This window comes from Homo sapiens, chromosome 4 (assembly GCF_000001405.40).
Source record: "Homo sapiens chromosome 4, GRCh38.p14 Primary Assembly".
NCBI classification, from domain to species: domain Eukaryota; kingdom Metazoa; phylum Chordata; class Mammalia; order Primates; family Hominidae; genus Homo; species Homo sapiens.
Window position 1 is genome coordinate 185833501 of NC_000004.12, and position 15825 is coordinate 185849325.

A 15825-nucleotide genomic window follows, 5' to 3' on the forward strand; every position below is an offset into this window, starting at 1 on the left:
TAATTAATATATGCCTTAAACACACTTTTTAAATGGAATGGTTTGAAAAAGAAATACTTTGGATAATAGATTACTACAATACACAAAATACAAAAGGATTATCAGTTTTTAAAATTACATAACTATGGGATTCATCATATTTCTCCATATGAAAAATGGGAATTATAGTATCAAATTCATAGGGTTTTATAAGGATTTACACAGGACATTTAATTCAATTAAATTTAATGTTTAGTTTTCAATTAATATTTCATATTCATTCTCAACTAATCTTTATTTCAGTTAATACAAAAATGAAAATGTAATAAAATGCAACACTACAATCATAGTGGAAATAATTCGTTTCATATATTGCATTCAAAAGCACTTGATGTTTTTGCGTCATATAAATAGTGTCTATCTTCCTCATTGGACTGACAGCTCCAGGAGTCTGATTCCTGGAACATAACATATGCTCCACAAAGAGTTCTAGAATTAACCAATGGGCAGTATGAACATAAATTATGACATTGGAAATGCCAATTAATAGATATCCAGATGATAAAATAATGTTTAAACAGCCTTCAAATGTATGCTTCATAAGTAAACACAAAGTATAAAATATATACACCTGTATTAGTCAATTCTCGTGCTGCTGTAGAGAGGTTTAATTGGCTTGTGGTTCCACAGGCTGTACAGGAAGCATGATGCTGGCATCTGCTTCTGGGGAGGATTCAGACAACCTACACTCATGGTGGAAGGCAAAGGATCTTGTTAAACCATAGAATCCGCCCCCGTGAGCCAATTACCTCCCACCAGGCTCCACCTCCAACATTGAGGATTACAATTCAAGATGAGATTTGGGCTGGGACAGATCCAAACCATATGAACACTTAGGACACATTAATTAGATAAGACACATACTTTATGGTGTATTGTTAGCATGTACACGTTTCTATCATGTGCTTAAGAGCAAAAAAAAATATACCCTACCTACTCTTGAAAAGTTTACATTCATGTAGAGAAGAAAACAATAGTTAAATTGTTCTCAAATGAGGCAGAATGTAATCAGTGCTCCACGTATACCCTTCTACCAGCCGTATAGAGGAGCAACTAGATCATGAAATGAGAACTACTCTTCTTGTTTCCAAAATAGTGAATGTAAATATTTCTATTTAAAATAATTAATTCCTAGGTTGGGCCTTATACATTTTAAAACTCAAAAGTGATTTTTAATTAATATTATAGAATATCAGTATACATTTGATTTGATTTGTACATAATAAAAAATAATCACGTTTTGCTAGCCCCTACACTATTGTTTTTCAAAGCATATTCCAAAGATGTTTATAAGTCATAAAATGCACCTAACATGCAAAGTTATAAAATAACCAAAAAGCGTTTCTGATATGGCTTGGATCTGTGTGTTGCCACCCAAATCTCATGTTGAATTGTAATCCCCCGTGTTAGAGGTGGGACTGGTGGGAGGTGACTGGATCACCAGAGGTGGACTTCCCCTTGCTGTTCTCGTGAAAGTGAGTGAGTTCCCTGGAGATCTGGTTATTTAAAAGTGTGCGGCAGCTCCCCCCAATCTCTCCCTAAGTCTTGCTCCTGCCTGTAAGATACCTGCTCTCCCTTTGCCTTCCGCCATGAGTAAAAGCTTCCTGAAGCCTCCGCAGAAGCAGATTCTTCCACACTTCCTGTACAGCCTGTGGAACTGTGAGCCAATTAAACCTCTTTTCTTGATAAATTACCCATCCTCAGGTATTTCTTTATAGCAATGCAAGAATGAACTAATACAGTCTCCAAAAACAATTTTTAATCATTTTATGAGAAAGGAAGTAAACCATAGAATTTAAAATTTAAAATGTTGCTTAATCACAGAAACTAAATTAAAGAACATTTCAATTCTAACGGTGTTCAAAATTTTATTGTCTTGTTTAGTGGAAGATGGAATGAAACCATATTATCTCACATTCAGGTGAACTTATGACATTTTTTCCCCTGAGGAATCTAGATTACAATGGAAAAATAATTTGTCAACAGAACATTAGAATGTGCTTACGTAAGTAAAAATTCCAGTGACAATTCATTTGCGCACTGTTCAAAAAAGGTGATCACGATGGAAAGATTTTAAATTTTGTTGTTTGTATTTTTGCCAATTTTGAAAGGATTTTTTTTTTTTTTTTTTTTTGCACCAGCAGTGTTCAGCTATTGGGGACTAAGTATTAGGAAACCTTTAGCCAGTTTATCTCCTCTCAGCAACCAACATGATGGGACTGGAGCCAACACTCATAGTTTTGAAAACCTCCCTTGAAGGTGGGAGACTTACTTTCCCAAGATGAGGAGTGTCTGAGGAGGCTCAACCCGGCCTGTTTCCCTGAAGAAGTCCCATAAACCGTCTATTACAGATGTGAAGGAGAATATCAAGCCTGTTGACATGATAATCCAGCTTATTGCTGCTCTTCTTGTTCCCAAAATAGTGAATGTAAATATTCATTTATTATTAAATATCACTTATTATTAAATAAGTGAATATTCACTTAATAAATATTATTATTTATAATAATATTGCTGGGGAACCCAAATACGAATGTAATAAACGATGACCCAGAGCTCCAGTGTGGTGCTGATTAAAAGGTTTAGGTGAAGAGCTACAGATGTCTACTTGGGACTCAGATCAAGAACCGATTTCTCATTTGCTTAAAAAAGAAGAATCATGGAGCGTTTTACAGAAGCAGTTGGGAAGTGAATGTGTGAGCATCATACTGACCTGCTGAGGCTAACTGAAAGCTTTCCCTGTCACACTGTCTCACTGTACCCTTCCACACGGCTTTACTTTCTGCTCAAAGCAGCAGCTACTCTGCCATTGCTCTCATCAGAGTAGACAGATAAAAGGTCAGTTTATAGGAGAGGTCAGGTGGGACACAGACAAAGACAATAGTGATTAGAAGGACAAACAGCAGAAAAGTCTTTCATAATAGTTTAGTAAAAGCAATTTAAATAACAACAAACAATATTTACTAAGTGATTATAATGTACACACCACCAAGTGCTTTAGGGAAATCGCTCATTTCTTTTTCACAATGAACCTATGAATTGGGCATGAATTTTATCCCCGTGTCACACCGAGCCTCAGAAAGTTTCATAATTTGCCAAGGTCACACAAATAGAAAGTGGCGGGGTCTCTATTCAAACCCAGCTCATGAGGCACCAGAGCTTGACACTACACTGTGTAACTATAATGTCAGTCACACCCAAGGATCAAATACCTCTTGTCCACATTATTTATAGAAAAATGTTCTTTTGAATTTTAACACTTAAAAGTGTAGAGACAAAGAAATTATGCGAGAACTTGGAGTGTAACAAAAGGTGCATTTTTGCTAAAAACTGGCTCTGTGATCTAGGGAGAGTCACCCATGACCTCTTGACTCCAGAGTCCTCAGTTCACAAAGATAGCTAAGCTGCCTCGAATTCTAAAGTTGTATGGTGTTTCTGTTCACACAGCACTTGAACATCTACTTACTGCCCTTCACTTATGGATATTTAATTATGAGTGAAGGGTTTTGAAGAGAGACTTTATATTATTCACATTATACCTCTTGCCTCTGCATAGGACCTCACATTCAGTTCTAATCTTTATACGCACCAGAAACAAAATTACATAAATCTAAGTAAACTTGCTCCTATCAAATGTGCTCCGGAAAATTGCCAAGTTTATATGGATTTTTAAATTTTACATCAAACAGATCCTATCAACTATTTGTCCCTAGAAAAAAAAAAGATGAAAGGCCAGAACTGCCTACAAGTTGCAATGTCATTGACTTTCCAGCAAGCATTGCAGCTGTCCTGGGAAAACTGAACCTGAAATATGTTTTTGAAACTGCTGAATTTCAGCTTCTAGTGTTTTTCACATTTTAGAAACAGGGAAACTATTAGCTTTAAAATGCTTGTATTTAATAGTTTTTTTCTTAAGCATTTCAAAAACCCCAGGTGAAAAGCTAAGTATGAGAAAGGTTCTCATGCAATCGTTAATCAAATGCAACTAGGTTGGAAGAAGATACATGCTTATTGCTTTGCGGAAGTGGCTTTTGTTCTAACTGAATAGGTTGAGGTAGATTATTCCTATTTAAACTTAGAAACGGAACCTCTAATACAATTGTTAACATTCCTGCAGTGAGGTCGTTTCATACAAATGTAACTGTGACAGGCTGAGATATTCCTTTTGCAAAGCCTATAATCTCTATGTAGTTAATCAGCATAAAGTATTAAAATCATAAATATGAAAAGAATCTCAAAAGAAAAATGATTTAAATTACTCTAAGACTATACAGACTATCCCCAAAGGCATAATTTCTTTAATAGAAAAAAAAAAAACCCACATTGCTTTGAGAACAAAAAAGATTCTGGATTCTTTTGTAGGGCTGCTTGGGCCAGTCCCACCTCTTCCACTTGAAGTTTTTTGTTTGTTTGCTTTTCTTTGAATGTGGAGAAAGTCTCTAGCAGCCTTCCATTTCCTCTGGTCTGAAAGTCTGTGTCCCTACTGAAGTTCTACAGCTTCTTTTATAACATTTCCCATTTGACACTAATTCCAACAGATGATGCTTTTCTAAGTTTGTGTTGTTTATAATTTACAGCACCTGGTTGTAGCCAGAGTCCCTTGCATCTCCCCAGCAGGGTGTGCGGGACCCATACTACCTGCACCCAGGCCTGGCTGGCCCCGCCCACAGGCCTTAGCTTCCTGCCCAGCTTCCCGGCTGCAGTGGGCCTAGCTATAACTTGCTCTGTTCCCATGGCTGTGAAGCCATGGCCGCAGCCTCTGCCATCTCATCTCCTCACGCTGTGGGTTGCCTCTAGCTCCCCTGGGGGCTTGGGCAGGCCACCATCATGCCAGGGGCGTCAGAACCCTGGAAATTCTCCACCCTCCTCAACTCACGGATGCGCTGGTTGCCCCAAGGGCTGTCTGGGGGGCTCACGGAGGAGAGCCTGGAGGAGAGGGGGAATTGACACTGGCCCTCAGAGAGGACACAGAGGGCAGAGCCAGCAGATTCGAGATGCAGTAGTTCCATTAGGGCCTCACTCCCATGTGACACAACAGCCGCCCAAAAGCTCTTGAGAAACTAAGGGCAGCTCAGTGATGTGTCACCTTGCATTTGCTTTGCCTTTTTTCCTGCCTTGTCTTCAGTCTCCTTTCACTCTTGCATCCTGGGATGGCATGTCCGCTATCTCCTCGCATACAGTATTAGCATGTAAGCTTTGCCTCTGCCTCGGGCTCTCTGTCCTAGGGAAACCAGTTAAGTCCTAGTTAAGTAACAGTAACAATCCAGATTTCACTCTCACCACTTTGACATGGAACCTCCTGTCTCTGATAGCAGCCAAGAGGGTCAGAATCACCAGAAGGTATCACGTATGCTCACAAAGACGTGTGCTCAGCCACCACAGGGTTCTCACGGTGTTTATTTCTATGTTGTTTCTTTGTCCTTCCAGCAGGCACCGCTGCTTTCCATGGGGCATAAACTGGACATCTCTTTCTCACCCTGCCTTTGAGGCACTGACTCTTCAAGGCCCCAACACTGCACGATGTTATTTTGCAAGGAAGGGGAGAACACTGCTCTTTCTCATAACATGCAGTCTGTCCTCAGAAAGATCCAGTAACGGTGGGACTTATGCTCCCCATTGTGAAAAAGAATTTTAAACTTGCAGAGGGGAGCTAAGTCAGAAGACAAATGCAAATGGCAAACACTCGGGGTAACTTGGATACAAGCCTCTGACTTAACCTCAGCCGCTGGCTTGGAGCAGAGAAAGAGGGCATGGAGAAGATGAGTAAGATTCTAAGAATTTCCAAATGAGTCATTAGACCAGGACTGAAACAGTTTGAGAACACTGCGCTGGGATTCCTCAGGCTATTTTACCCAGGACTCATTTCCTTACTGCAGTTCTGAAGACAATGACCCTGGCCCCAGGGGTCGGTCCAGTAGGAGGGCTGCAAGGGATCTTTTCTGCTGCATTTACAACATCCACGTATTCTGCAGTCAGAGTTCCCAAGAACAAGCCGGAGCACACTGAGCGCTCCCTAGGGAGGAGGCCTGGGGAGAGCTTAAGAGAGGAATGTACTCCAAGCTTTATGTGCTTGTAATTTGTTTATAGTGCTGTAAAGAGTTGTTTTTCGATGGGACTGTCTTCTGAGTCCTGTACAATAAAGGACATACGTATAAAACTCTAAAATGTAAATTAAAAGCTGAACCACCATAAAATAAAGGCAGTTTGTACAAACTGAAATATTCAGTGCTTTGGGTCTGGGTGAGGTGGAACAAGAAACCCTAGGTAAATTGTAGCAGCGTTAGATGTTTGGCCTGTTTAAAGAAGGATCCTTAGAGGGATGGAGTCATAAACACAGGGCACACTGGCCTCAGAACAGAACTGAGAGGGCTCCAGTAAGCAGAGTGGAGACATAAAGCATCCTGCCATGTGCTTACGATGTAGGATATCGTCAGCCTCTCAGCATGAGTCTTACCCTGTGGAAGAAAGAAGTGGAAAGAGAGGAGAGGAGCATCTCTGAGCAGCACAGCTCCACGCAGAGTTTCACCCCAGTGCTTCTCTGTGAGGTGTAAATACAGCTCTACAGCCTGGGAGGACTGGCAGAGGTCACCAGTAGCAAAGAGTGATAGCGAGATTCCACGGTCATTTGTGGATGAACAGGGGTTGTTCATTTTAAGAATATTGTTTGGGTAAACAAACAAAAGTCAATTTTCCCGTGTTATGGAAATGCTCTGAGAAAGGCAACCTCACACAAATGGGTCAAAGAGAATGCCAAGGTATGGAATGCCTGCTTGTTTGCAGACCAAAAATATCTCTCATTCATACAAGATAGAATCTAGCTGGATTTTGGTGTGGTTCTTTCATAAGCATCTCTCTTGTGTGGCCGACTGCTCCTATTCAGATGAATAACTATGCTAGTATCTTGCATAGCTGATCCATGACCCTGCTACTAATTTCCTCTAAACCTGTCTGTAGAATATCTGAGTGGTTCAAAACCCTTTTAGTTCCATTCCAATCTTCTTCTTCTATCAAATCCAACTAGGCAGGAGGAAACAAGATGTGTGACTCTTGGAAAAAAAAATACCAGCGATGATCTCTGAGACCTGTGAAGTACTGGCCCTCTTTCAAATACAATTCGATTTCTTTCTCACACCCAGCCTTTAAAAAATAATTAGGGGGATCTAATGCACATTGTACTTCTGTGTGCATGTATTTATTCATTCATTCAACCATTGCTCTGTGCTTTGTATTGCAGGCACTTGATACCGAGATGAAGGCAACAGAATCCAGCTCTGGAAGATGTTCACTCACTAGGAGGGAGGCAGACCCATAGACTGACTCATATCATCAGAACAGAATCACCAAGGAGAGATGCTCCAAACTCAGTTTGGGTGGGGGTGTTAGCAGAGGGGCAAGAGGGAGGGGAGGGAGAGGGCGTAAAGCAAAGTGTCCTGGGGCAGGTAGCACCTGAGCCATGTCTTAAAAAATAAGCAAGTCAGGTGGAAGAGGGCAGGAAGCTTAGAAGGCAACGTGGGTGAGACGAAGCAAAGCAAAGAGGTCAACAAATGTGTGGCGTGCGGCATTGCGGAAGAACAAAGATGTTAAAGGCCAGGCCTTTCTCCCTCAGCTATGGAACCTGAACTCCCCTTGTGGGTGATGACAAGCATTGATGACTCTAAGCTGGGTAATAACACAGTCAGAGGAGTACTTCTGGTAGATTATTTTAAGAAAACAAGGCTGAAGAAAAGCACAACAGTTAGTTGTTGCCAAAAACAATGAGGGCCTAAGTGGAGGCAAAGGTTGGGGGGAGATTAGTGGAGGTGAGACATTCAGATATTTGAGGGAAATGTTGGGTAAAATCGATTGCACTTGCTCGTGTATTAGAGGTGGGTGAGTTCCTGGGCTGGATTGTCAGCGTTTCAATACCTTTCTTCCCTTCTATACTCTCCTCTGTATTGAAGGTGCCAGAGCCCCAGATTATTCACTTACTAGCCAGCAGGATCTCATGTTAGGTTCCTCCCATGGAGGTCCCCAAGAAAGATGCGGAAGACAGAAGAAAAGGAAACTTATTATTTTGCAGCAACAGTGAGTAGGTGCATGGGTTTTGGCAGATGGCAAATGAGGTTTTGCCAGGAGCTTCTGCACAATCTCCTGAGAATCTCTGGTGCTGTAAACAGGTGAGACCTTTGGTAAAAGTCCCTCAGAATTCCTGCAATTTGTTTCCCGAAAGACTAGCAGTGGCTTCTCTGACTTTTGCTTCTTTAAGGCTTTTAATTGATTCTATAATTTCCCAGTTCTCTGTACTAAATTCTTTCTTGCTTAAAATATCTACAGTGCTTTCTATTTTACTGACCAAACACTGTTGGAATCAACTGATACCCAGGTTTCTGGCTTAGGTGACCAGGTGGACGGTGAATTAGAAAATTAATTCATTCATTCAGCATTCATGATTTACTGAACATCTACTCCGTGCTCAGGGAGTGCTATAGGCACCAGACACAGGGACTCCTATCAAAATGACCAATGCTCCTGCCCTCAAGGAGCTTATCTCCTAGAAGGAGAAATAAGTGATATAAGAAACTAATAATTAAATAATGTCATTTCAGATGATAATGTTAGGAATAAAATGACAGAAGACCATATGAAAGACGATGTGTAGGTGGTAGAGTGGTCCTCTTAGACTGAATAGAGAAAATCTTACTAAGGAGGCCACATGTGAGCCTAAATGACCTAAGTGTCCAAAAAGCTCTAGTCATGTAAAGATCTACTTTTGGTTTAAAGTGAGAACAAACTTGGTTGGCTCAAGAAAGAGACTGGAGGTCCATGTGACTAGAGCAGAGTGGACAAGAAGGAAAGTGTCAGAAGATGAGACCTGAGAGTTAACTAAAAGTCAGAGCATGCAGGCCTTCTTAGCCATGGTAAGGAGTTACCTACCTGATCTCATGACCTTACTGTAAACCTACAGTGTTGAAGACTGGACACCCCATGAAAGTTATATCGTACATTAAAAGGTACACTGGGGCTAAGGGGCAACTTGATCAGATTTGTGTTGAAAAATAGTCACTAGAGAAACCAGCCCATGGAAGCAAACAGAGAAGGTAGGAGTGATGGAGTAAATATTAAAAATATTAAATTTGGCCGGGTGCAGTGGCCCATGCCTGTAATCCCAGCACTCTGGGAGGCCAAGGTAGGCGGATCATGAGTTCAGGAGATCGAGACCATTTTGGCCAACATGGTGAAACCCTGTCTCTACTAAAATACAAAAAATTAGCCAGGCATGGTAGTATATGCCTGTAGTACCAGCTACTCAGGAGGCTGAGGCAAGGGAATCGCTTGGGCCCAGGAGGCGGAGGTTGCAGTGAGCCAAGATCACACCACTGTACTCCAGCCTGGCGACAGAGAAAGACTGTCTAAAAAAAAAAAAAAAAAAATTAAATTTAACATGCTTCTAGGACAGGCAGCTGGCAGGCAATTAGATAAATAAGACTGCTGGAGAAGGTCTGGGACTGAATATGGAATTAGGAGTCCGTACATGGGTGACACTGGGTACACCATGAGTATATGCAATAACACAGGGAGTGTGGGTAGAAAGAACAGAGCACTGAGTTATGGAAGACTTTGTAGAACAACTACCCTGAAAGGCAGCTGCAGGAAAAGGCCCCCACAAAAGGAGGATGATTCAATGGGAATCCGGAGAGTGTGGGGTCACAAAAGTCTAGGTAGTTTCACTAAGAGAAAGCAAAACAGCAGTTAACACAGGACTGAGATTGGGAACAAGGAAAAGGTATCCACTTTCACCATTCCTATTCATTATTGTATTGGAGGTTCTAGCTGTAGCAATTAGATTTAAAAAACCCAGGATATATATAGAATAAAAGAGAAATAAAACGGTTTTTATTCATAGATGACAAAATTGTCTACATAGAAAATCTCAAAGATATGCAAACAAGCTACTAGAATTAATAAAGGAGCTTAACAAGATTGCAGGATATAAGTAAATATAGAAAAATCAATAATTCCATATGGTAGAAATAAACAATAGAAAATGAAGATTAATAAGCAATACCATTTGCAGTAGCACTGAAAAAATACTTAGAAATAAATCTAACAAGATACATGTAAGCTTTGTATGCTGAAAACTATAAATTATTAGTTATAACTATAAATTATTAATGAAACTAAGTAAGACCTGAAAGATGGAGAGATATATCATGTTCATGGATGAGAAAACTCAGTTGTGTTAAGATATCCATTCTCTCCAAATAGATCTTAGATTCAGTGCAATAAATCCCAATTAAAATTCAATTTCCATCAAAATCCCAGCAAGCTATTTTTTGAAATGGGAAATTTTATTCTAAATTTGTATGAAAAATCAAAGAAAGTAGAATAGCCTAAGCAATGTTGAGAAAGAAGACAAAGTTGGAGGCCTTACCTACCTGATTTCATGACCTCACTGTAAACCTACAGTGTTGAAGACTGTACACTCTATGAGTATATGAGATAACACATCCCTTCCTTGGAGGAAGGCAGTTCACATAGATCAGTGGGAGAGAACAGAACCCACACCTTCAACACAAGTGCTAAGGCAATTCAATGGAGAAAGGACAGTCTTGCTAAACAAAGACTGGAACCATATGTGTAAAAATGAACACTGATAAATACACTGGACCCTATACAAAAAGATTAACTTGGAATGGGTCATAGAGCTAAATGTAAAACTCAAAACTATAAAGCTAACAACAGAAAGACAAAGAACCCAATTCAAAAATGGGCAAAGGGCTCAAAGAGACATTTCTCTAAAGAGGATATGCGAATGATCGGCAGACACACGAAAAGATGCCCAACAGCGTTGGTCACCAGTGAAATGCAAAACACACCCACAATAAGAGAGCACTTCACACCCATGAGAATGACAATAACAACAACAACAGCAAAACCAGAAAATAACAGATGTTGCTAAGGATGTGAAGAAACTTGAATACTCATATACGGCTGGAGGGATGTGAAACGGTACAGCTACTGTGGAAAACAGTTTCATGATTCCACAATAAATTAAACACAGAATTGTCATATGACCCAGAAATTCTACTCCTGTGTAAAAAGTGAACACAGATCTTCAAACAAAACTTGTACACCGATGCTCACAGCGGCATTATTTACAAGAGCCAAAAGGTAGAAACAAACCAAATGCCCACCAATTAATGAATGAATAAAGAAAAGATGGCATATTCATACATTGAAATATTATTAAGCCATAAAAGGGAATGAAGTACTGATACATGCTCCAAGATGTAGAAACCTTGAGAACTTATGCTAAATGAAAGAGTGAGACACGAAAGACTATATGTAACACGATTCCATTCCATTTATACGAAACACTCAGAAGAGGCAAATCCATACAGGCAGGAAGTAAATTAGTGCCTGCCTGGGGCTGGCGAAAGAGAAGAATGGGGATTGGCTGCTTAGTGGGTATGGGGTTTTTAGGGATGATGAAAATGCTTTTTTTTTTTTTTGGACAGGGTCTTGCTCTGTCACCCAGGCTGGAGTGCAGCAGGGTGATCATGACTCACTGCAGCCTCATCCTCCTGGGCTCAAATGATTCTCCCACCTCAGCCCCCCTAGTACCTGGGACTACTAGTGGACACCACCACCCCCCAGCTAATTTTTTATTTTTAATTTTTTGTAGAGACAGAGTCCCACGAGGTTGCCCAGGTTGGTCTCCAACTTCCCGGCTCAAGCGATCCTCCCACCTTGGCCTCCCAAAGTGCTGGTGTTACAGGTGTGAGCCACTGTGCCTGGCCATGAAAATGTTTTTGAAGTAGATAGTGATGTTGGTTTTGCAATATTGTGAAGGTAGTGAATATCACTGAATTACATACTTTAAAGTGGTTAAAATGGTAATTTTAATATTATGTGCATTTTGCAACAATAAAAAAATCTGTAAACCTTATAGAAGAAAACAAAGGAGAAAGTCTTTGTAAATTTGGGTTAGAAAAAATGCTTTATATTGCACACAAATTGCACAAGCCATAAAAGGAAAAATTAACACACTGGACTTGATCACAGTTAAAATACTCTGCTAAATAAAAGGGAAACCACAGAAAGGGAGAAAATATTCACAAAATATGTATCTGATAATAGGCTGGTATACAGAATATATAAAGAATGTACACAACTCAACAATAATAAAACAAACAACCCAATTTAAAAAAAGAAGCAAAAAAATAGGCAAAAGTTTTGAACAGGTACTTTAACCAAAGAGGAGATGCAGATCTAAATATGGACATGATAAATGCTCAGTACCATTAATCATTAGGAAAATGCAAATGAAAACTATTACACACCTTTCAACTGGCCAAAATATAAACAAAACAAAATCTGACAATATCAAATGCTGACAAGGATGTGGAGCAACAGGAGCTCTCATTCACTGCTAGTGGTGATGCAAAATAGTACAGACTCCTTGGAAGATCGTTTCTGATACTGTTAAACATAAACTTCATGCCACCTGGCAGTCCCAACTCCTTGGCATTTATCCAAGAGAAATGAAAACATATGTTCATACAAAAACCTGAAAGTGAATATTTATAGAGGCTATATTCATGGTCACTAAAACCTGGAAACAACACAAATGTCCATCACCTGGAGAGTGGATACAGAAACGATGGTACATCCATACAACAGAATGTTACTCAGCAACAAAAAGGAAAAGGCCACTGATAGTTGCAACAAATGGACGCCTCTCAAATGCATCATGCCAGTGAAAGAAGCCAGACCCAAAAGACTAAGTATTGCATGTTTCCACTAATAATACATTCTGGAAAAATAAAACTATAGGGACAGAAAGCAGATCAGGGTTTGCCAGGGGCTGGGGTCAGAAAGAAAATCAACTGAATGGGGCCAAGGACCCTTTTTGAAGAGATGAAAATTTTCTACACATTGATGTGTTGGAAGTTCTGTAATTTGATACATTTTTCAAAATTCATTTATCTGTACTCCTAAAAAAGGTGAATACTGTATATAAATTATACTTTCATAAACCTGACTTTAAAACATGACTGAGACTATCACTTGGTTAAGGCTAACCAAAAGGGCTTTGGCAATCCTATTGGGAACAATTTCACTGGTAAAGCCTGAAGCGAGACTGAGATAATAGCGTACATTTATTCAATGAGGTAGAAAGCAAGGCAGAGAATAGGAAGCGGGTGCTTCTGCTGAGTGCTCCATTAATCAAGTTAAACTGTTATTTCTTTCCCCCTAGGCTTGTAATTCAAACCAGGGAAAGTTTGGGAGAGAGGGGGAAGGGGGAGAATGGAGTTATGATTCAGAATCTCCAAGGGCATTTGTGTTTGAAAATTTTATTTATGATATTTAAATTTAGAGAAAAATCCCTATTTGTCAAATAAAAACTAGGGAAAGGAAAGAATGATAACACCTTTGGTAGATGAGGATATCCAGAATAAAAACATGACTCACTGGGGCCATGCTCCCTGGGGATTCTTTGGTGTGGCGGGAGTGGCGATAGAGACAAGATTTTTTATAATAAAACATGGCAAAGGATAAAACAATTAGATAACTTCTGTCCCCAAAACTTACACTTATCTTGTGTTTAATAACAGATTCAGTGTTGATAGAGTCTGAGAGTATTCCCATCATAATGTAAGTCTGCTCCAGTGGACTTTTTACCACTTTGTGTTTGAGCCTCAATTAGTAGGAAACAATCTGTTCTAAGATAAGAAATCAAAATCTAATTTTGTTATTTCTCCCTAGTGAGTGGACACTTTCTTTGGGATTGGAGAAAAGGGACTGAATTGGTTTCCCTTTAAAATGCCTTCAGTATCTTTTGGATTGGTGCACCAAATTCTCACTCTGCCCAGTGTGGAGGTGACTGCTGAGTGCCGAAATGCCAGGACCAGAAAATCAAGCTGAACACATGCGTCAATGGTGAACAATTATAGCTCAGAATCCATCCTCGCAGGATCTGGGGTCCCTGTGATTGTATCATCCAGACATACATCCTCCTCTCCTCCCAACTGCAGCAAGTCCAAGCCAGATCTCGCAGGATGAGTAAGCGACATATGGCATGTGTGAAATTCCACTCCACCCTGTTGCCCTTCCCAGAGCTGCTGTAGACGGCAGCAACGATTATAGCAACCTTGACTCCATAAGGAATGTGACAATTTAAACCCTGCAGACTGTTTAGCAATGAGTTATTCCAAGCAGTAAGTTGTACCCTAGAGCCCTGGAATGAACTGAAGAAGCACTGGGCTCACATCTTAGGAGATCTGTTCATCAGGTAGAAACTGGCTTCATCGGCAAGGATTGAGATTTTTCTGCTATCGTTTTTGATGGCTAGTCTCATCAAAGAGCAAACAGCATGTCTCAGATTACAGCTATCAGTCCTTTGGCATTCCGCAGGCTTCTCACATTCATGCCGAGTCGCAGGGCTGACCTGGCCTGAATTGTGGGATCTGAACTCTCCCAGAAATTTAAGAACCCCCAAATTTGTCCCCAGGTCATGGTTTGGGATTGGGGCCACCCAGAAAATTCGACAGACTCAGAGACTCCTTGAGAATGATGCTTTAAGCTGCAGTCTCAGATACCCCGAAATTATATGAGTACAGTGGAATGGAGGCAGAGAAGGGGATGCGCGGTGATGACTTTTTCATAAAGGCCCTAGGATCCAGGTCAAGTCTGTAGTGGTCCCCATGATGATTCTGGGCTTCAAGGGTATTCTGGGGAAAGCCAACCTGCAGGGATTCCTGAGTGCCTTTAACCACAGAACCCCTAATATCATGGAATAAAAGAGAAGTAAAAGTTATTGGACAAGGAATGGTAACTTTTAGTTCATGAAATCCTTTGTGACACACCATCTCAACTTTTGCTTTGGCAAATTTTTTTTCCATGTCAACAACTGCTGTGACTGATTTTGAAACCAGGAAATCAACTTGAATGCAAATAAAAATTCAAATGGATGCAAATTTATGAAAGGTAAACTTTTAAAAAAGTCTTAGAAAAACTGTCACACAAATGAAGATTCTAGTATTCTAGTGGTTCAGAATTAAGTCCAGGTTTTAAATGTTCTTTATAAGGATATCTCTTTTTTTTTTTTTTTTTTTTTTTTTTTTTTTTTTTTTTTTTAAGAGGCAGGGTCTCCATACATTGCTCAGGCTAGACTCAAACTCTTGGGCTCAATGGATCCCCCTACCTCAGCCTCCCAAGTAGCTGGGACTACAGGCAGCCACCACCATACCTGTCTAGGACATTTCTTGACATAGTTTGAGCCTTTTATCTGACGGTTAAGTCTGCTGGGTTCAGTACTGTTTCATTTCTATAGATAATATATCCTAAACATTTTCAAGTTACTTGAGATTATTAGATGCAGTGAGATGAACCAAACTAAAATATCTCTTGTAGCCCTTTCACTAGCTGTGGCTTATTTATATTAAAGAAGCACACAGTAGTGACACATCTGTGACACAGGGACTTGACAGCTGCTAGGTGGTACGAAAAGGTTGGTTGTTTTGTTTATTTTGGACAATGCCCATCAATCACGAGAATGATGTTAGAACCACCTCTTATATAGCTGGCCCTTACTGAAACAAGCACTGTTGTTCCAGGACCCTGTCAGATTAGGGCTCCATCAGACTGAAAGAGTAGCTTTTTCCTGCTCAGGGTCTAATAAAGCTCCTGGCATCTTGGCACACCCTTGTTGACCCTGTTGCCATTCTAGAGAGCAGACACTACCCAGTGGAGCCACCAGAGCTTCCCCAAACCCACTGCGAATTCCGACTTGAGACACTGCAA

The 15825-nt window shown here is 40.3% G+C and overlaps 1 protein-coding gene across 10 annotated transcripts in view, besides 2 other annotated features; it reads right to left on the reverse strand.

Annotated features, from left to right (window-relative positions):
• SORBS2 (sorbin and SH3 domain containing 2) overlaps positions 1 to 15825 on the reverse strand; it is a 370850-nt gene that overhangs the window by 247978 nt on the left and 107047 nt on the right. The gene's annotated exons all lie outside the window — the stretch shown is intronic.
• Positions 5416 to 6615: an enhancer, noted in NCBI's record as "CDK7 strongly-dependent group 2 enhancer chr4:186760070-186761269 (GRCh37/hg19 assembly coordinates)". NCBI's record gives its function as "activates an origin of replication core promoter dependent on BRD2, BRD4, P300/CBP, MED14 and CDK7 cofactors, with strong dependence on CDK7, by STARR-seq in HCT116 cells {active_cell/tissue: HCT116}" and the evidence as "EXISTENCE:reporter gene assay evidence [ECO:0000049][PMID:35650434]".
• Positions 5672 to 6343: an enhancer, noted in NCBI's record as "OCT4-NANOG-H3K27ac hESC enhancer chr4:186760326-186760997 (GRCh37/hg19 assembly coordinates)". NCBI's record gives its function as "activates a minimal SCP1, AML or CMV promoter by ChIP-STARR-seq in primed H9 embryonic stem cells {active_cell/tissue: H9 hESC(primed)}" and the evidence as "EXISTENCE:reporter gene assay evidence [ECO:0000049][PMID:30033119]".